Source organism: Homo sapiens, chromosome 4 (assembly GCF_000001405.40).
Source record: "Homo sapiens chromosome 4, GRCh38.p14 Primary Assembly".
Classification (NCBI taxonomy): domain Eukaryota; kingdom Metazoa; phylum Chordata; class Mammalia; order Primates; family Hominidae; genus Homo; species Homo sapiens.
In genome coordinates, this window is record NC_000004.12 from 65,098,388 (window position 1) to 65,104,540 (window position 6,153).

Here is a 6,153-nt window from a genome sequence, read left to right on the forward strand (position 1 = left end):
TCTGAGTTTTTTCACTCATTAAGATTATTTTGTGGTTCATCTCTGCTTTGGGGTATATTGAAAGTTTATTCATTTTTATTGCTGAGCAGTGTTTCATTATATTGATACATCACAGTTTTTTAATTCATTCACCTCTTGTTGGCTATTTGAATTGTTTCCAGGTTTTGACTACTACACACAAAGTTGCTGTAAATATTTTTGTAAAGCTTCTTCTATGGACATATGCTTTCATCTCTTTTGAGTAAATGCCTAAAAGCAGAATGGGTGGTCAAATGGTAAGTATATGTTTAACTTTTTAAGAAAATGTCAAATTGTTTTCCAGTGTGATTGTAACATTTTACATCTTCATCTGCAGTGTATGAGATTCCTAATTTTTCCACATACTTATCAATACTTGATGAAGCCAATCTTTTTAACATTAGCCATTTTAATAGGTTTGTAGTAATGTTTACTCTTAAACAGATACCTAGAGGATTCCATCATTTAATATTTATACAATTTGAGTGGTATTAATTATATGTTTTAAAGAAGATAAAATGTACTCCCTTTATGTATTGTAAACCATATTGCCAATGATTGTTTAACTATCATTTGTATACAAGGATGTTTATATAATAAAAGAACCTTGTAAAATTTTCTACCAGAAGAGGAAGAAAATTCTTAGGGAATCAGTCTAATTTATTTTATACATGGAAAGAAGTTGCCAGCATTTTATAAGTTTCAAGATAGAATGATATGCTATGGTTTTTCATACCCATTATTTATTAACTTTTATTATCCTTACAAATATATGACACCTGTTTTCTTATAACTTAAAAATTTTACATTCAGGTATTCTACATTTTCTTTTATTCTTGGTTAGGCAAAATTTTTAAAAATGTATTATGTCTTTTAAATTTTATTCTTTTAAGGAACACAAAAAGTTATGCTAAACAAACAATTCCAATATAAATATCACCATTTGTATGTATCGCATTTTTATCATATTTTAATTTTTGAGTGCTGTTCATTAAGAAATTGTATTTCATTTTTAAAGTGAGACATAGAATATATCTGCTTCTCTGATGACTAATATGCCTACAATATATATGAAAGCAGAATTTAAATGAATATAAACCACTCAATGTTTAGGAGTGGGATGTAAAAATGGTTTGTCAAGTTCACTTAGCTTTAGGAGTGGAATTATATTCAATGGAATCCTAACATCCTCATAGTTTCTATAGTTTTGAATAATTTCAACACAGAAATGGCTATATATTTTCTATTTAATACTTACTTATATTTCATTAGCAAAGGGTCTATTAAAATGAAGTATCTTGCCAAGTCATGTTTTTAAAATCCCACAAAAATACTTCCACATAGTATCAACTGCCAACATAGTTGGGTGTATGAGGCACTTTATCTTATTTCTACATTTTAGTAATGTGTGTACACTGCCAATAATTGCATTGTATCAATGAAAAATAAGGAAAGAAATCCCTAATAATACAAACATTCTGCAAGTTTCTTGTTTTAAAGAAAGAGCACAATGATTTCCACTGCCCTTTGTATGTCTTAGTTGCTGGATTTACATTGATTTTTTTCCTGCTGTCACATTAGGATTTTGGCTAGAAATAATTTGTCCATAAATAGCATATTTGCAGGTCCTATTTTAGTATAGGCAATCAACTCAGATACTGATAAAGTCTTTGGTTAATTTTAATCATTAGTGAAGACACAAAGCTCTGAATTTAAAAGACTTCATTATTCACAAGGACAAAACCACTGAGTTAGAATAAGTAAAGGCCATTTGTAAAATTTTTGTTTGTTCATGCATCTATAAATGTCTCATGTTTTTATTCATTATGGTTACCTATATGTTGGATACCTTCCTATCAGGTCACTGCCATATGTAAAAAATATTTTGACTTCTTCACTTTAAAGAAACAATTGTTCTTAAATATTAAGACACTATTGATTAACAAAGTCACTTGTTCAAAGTACATAAGCATCATATATTTGACCCTGTCACTATTTCAACATTCATCATGCTTGAAACTTTTAAAGTTTTTACATCTTTTCATGTGTTCAGCTCTTTCGTTAGTGTGAGACATTTAAACATATAGCATACAGATTTTTACTAATTATATTTTTCATGGGCTGTTGACATTGAGCTACTGATTCTGACATTCAGAGATTGAGGGGTTATCTCAAGAATACCTGCGAATGGAGCAGAATTTGGCAGAAGGAGAAGCTGAACTGTATGCAGTGGCAATAAAAGTCTCAGCTGATCCCATAGTGATTCCGAAGTCAGGGTGACCATCAGGGACTAACTTGAGAGGTAATTCTCTTAATGATTATAGTAATGGGTGTCTTAATCCTGAAGAGAAGATCAGAGTGTCTCATCACGGCATGCACTCTAGTTGTAAGTGGCTTTAATCTCATATATGATTTTATGAAAACATTTGAAATTTAACTTTTAAACCTTTAATAAATATGGCATTTCCTCAGAACTGTGATTTTTTTATATCTTAATGTTTCTAAAATCAGAATATGTCATAATGAATGTGTACCATTAATTTGATTTCTTTTTCAGAAAAAAAACACCTGAACCAGTATTACACTTTATAAGCAATCCCAATGCCTGTGTGAAGGAAAAAATATATAGTACATATCAAGTGGTGTAATTTTATGTTATGCTTCACACACACAGAAATATATCTGGTTTTATAAGTCTCTTTCTGATTCTGAAAGCAGATTAAGTATTTGACTAACATTCTTTCTATGTATCCATAGATAGATTTTTGGTAGGGCTTTGATTTGTGATCTTTCTGTATAGCCCAGGGAATTGATCATGATGATTTTAATCATGTTGAATCAAATTCTGTCAAGCTGACCTGGGATCACTGTTTATTTTTCATGTTTGAATGTATGTCTTCAAAGTATTGCCATCCACACATTTTCTGTAGCCTTCTGTCTTCATTTATCTTCTCACTGTACTTTTTAAGTCATTTTTGATCCATTTCAATTACTAAACATAACCAGGATCTTTGGAATTCTCCAGGCCAACATATCACTGCTCTGAGATTATTTCTGTAACTGAGAGGAATGTCTTGAAATAGAGGTAATAGGGTTAATAATTTTAAATAAGCTTCATAAGATAATCTCCATAAAATCATGTTGGTGGACCAGTAGAGTCCCCTTAAAGACACAGAATGGGAAACTGGGCTTGCAAAATATTTGCATAAGAGTATTCTTTAGTGAAAACCACAATACATTTCTCACATGGAAGCATATTAGAACAGTATAGCATATCTGGTATCAGCATTTTTTATTATTTTTTTTCAATTGAGACAGGATTTCACACTGTCACCCAGGCTGAAGTGCAGTGGTACAATCATAGCTCACTGCAGCATTGCTCTCTTGGGTTCAAGCACTCCTCTGGCCTCAGCCTCCCAAGCAGGGGGAACCACAGGCCCATGTCACCATGCTTGGGCTATCTTTTTTTTTTTCTTTTGTAGAATTGAGGTCCCACTATATATGTTGTCCAAACTGGTCTCAAACTCCTGGACTCAAGTGATCCTCCCACCTTGGCCTTGCAAAGTGCTGGGATTACAGGCAAGGGCCACTCTGCCTGTCAGCATCTATTTTAGTTTTCTAGTCTTTCAGACAACTTGTTTCCAAAATGATGCTACTTTTCTTTTTCTTTATAAACAAACCGCTAGGGATCAATAAACACTCCGATTCCTCCCTTTACCCCTAACTGAATACTGTTAAATGCTTACATAAGGAGTAATAATAGGAGGAAGACTTCAGAGAAAGATTAGCTCAAATAAGAGAAAAATGTTGACTTGTTTTTACAGAAAGCAATGTTAAAATATTACCAAAGATACTAAATAGCATAATATTTTACATTCTCTTTCAATTTCTGTTTTTAAATAATCATACGTTATTAACATTGGTACTCAATCAAGTATCACTCATATATATTTAAATATACATTTCTAAGTTTTTATATATTTTTCACTATAAATCTAATGGTGTTGGTTTTTTTCCTGTGTTAAAAAAAGCAGTTGCCATCACATGTGGTTGATCTCATAAATTTCACTATGCTAAAGACTGAAGAGAATGAATGAATCAATGTAAGACATAAATGTCTGATTTAAGGTGACCTAGTAAAGATTTGCTTATGCTTTTGTGTGATTCACATAGGAAGAGGCTTTCAGTTCTAGGATGTACATCTGAATATAAGTGTGCACTGTGTCACAGTAAATTCAAGTTGATCTGAACATTATACGAGTCCAGTGATTCACCACATAACCTCAAATGCTGGAAAGCACGTAAGCAACAGACTAAACTTTGAGAGTCAGAGAAATGGAAAGAAAAGCTATTTCTGGTGAGGGAGAAAAAATAGAAGTTAAAAAAATCCATGAAATATTTATGGGTTTTGCATGTATCTTTCTAATAAGAATGCAAATATTGTGAATTCTTTCTACTCATACAGTACTGACATTTACCAAATAGAATTCTGTTATTTGACCTCTTTCTGTAAACGTTGACATTGCACTCACATTTATAATAGATTTCTGTCTGTTTTACCACAGTTGAATGTTTCCATTGGGAATGTTATTACTTATTATGGCTCAAAATGCACCTGCACCAGCTGTACGACTAAACATAAAGAAGGCACCAGCCAAAATCCCGGAGACTCTTAACAGTCCTTTGCTGCATTACTGCCATAGATCCAACATCCATCCTGAAGCGGCAGGAAGGAAACTTCTCTAACACTTCATTTCCATAGAAATGAGAGTCTGACTTGTACTCTTGCTTTCTTTCATAGCAGTATCTACTGACCTATTCCTTGCATCCTTAACTTTAGGCAGTCTCATGTTGCATTAGTACAAATTGTTAGATAAAAGATGATAAATTCAGTTGAGTAATAACCTAGAAATGTTAAGAAAAAAATAATATATGTAGTTTACTTAAAAGCACAAAAGCATAAAGAGAATGGGGGAAAACAGGACCTTAGCCTATTTTGTAAAAAAACTATCGAATCATTAACACAATTAGCATTACCAAGAGGTTCTCTGAGATCAGAAAGCATTTTATAAAAAATATCTTATATATATGTAATTAAGCTCTGTCATTATGTTTTTATAGTTTTGCAGATGTTGGAAATGGGTCAGGTCAACATAAATAAAAATGCTAAGAATAATTCTCTTCAGGAACTAAATCTGAAGAGACAAGTAATATAATACTAAACCAAAATATAAATTAAAACATACATTTCGACCAGTCACAATGGCTCACGCCTGTAATCCCAGCACTTTGGTAGGTGGGTGAGTCACCTGAGGTCAGGAGTTTGAGACCAGTGAGGCCAATATGGTGAAACCCCATCTCTACTTAAAATACAACAATTAGCTGGGTGTGGTAGCACGTGCCTGTAGTCCCAGCTACATGGGAGGCTGAGGCAGGAGAATTGCTTGAACCCAGGATGCAGAGGTTGCAGTGAGCCGAATTCAAGCCACTGCACTCCAGCCTGGGCGACAGAGCGAGACTCTGTCTCAAATGAACAAACAAAACAAAACAAAACAAAACAAAACAATAACATATCTTTCATAGATATGGGCTCCAAAAATCTCAGAAAATATTTATAGACACTAACAGAATGTTATTGGACTGTCAACTAAATTGACTTTTTAAAAACAGAATAATTTAAAGTGGTTATTTTTCATGTTAAATATTGATTTTATTATATTTATTTTTTAATTAGTTCCAAAGGCTACACAGACATTTCTCAATATCATATGATAGGCCCATTCTTGACTTGTTGGACTTCTGTAGGGTAGCTAATGATGAGAAATCTATTTATCTGAGAATCAGTGAATTTTTTTTGTTATTCCTACTCACAAAATTGTAAATTTTCTCATTTCTTTTTCCTGCTGTTTCCTCCAATCAATATATTTATGACTACTTGACAAATCAGTGGCAGCAAATATATGGATGTTAGTTTAGTCAAAAGCTTAATTAGATAATATTATTTATTCAGTAGTTTTTATCCAGCTAATATGCATGAAACTCTAAACTAGGGATTAGGTTAAGCTCTGGGGATAAAAATCTCCACTCTTAAGAAATTTAAAATTTATTAGTGACTACAGATAATCAAACAAATCT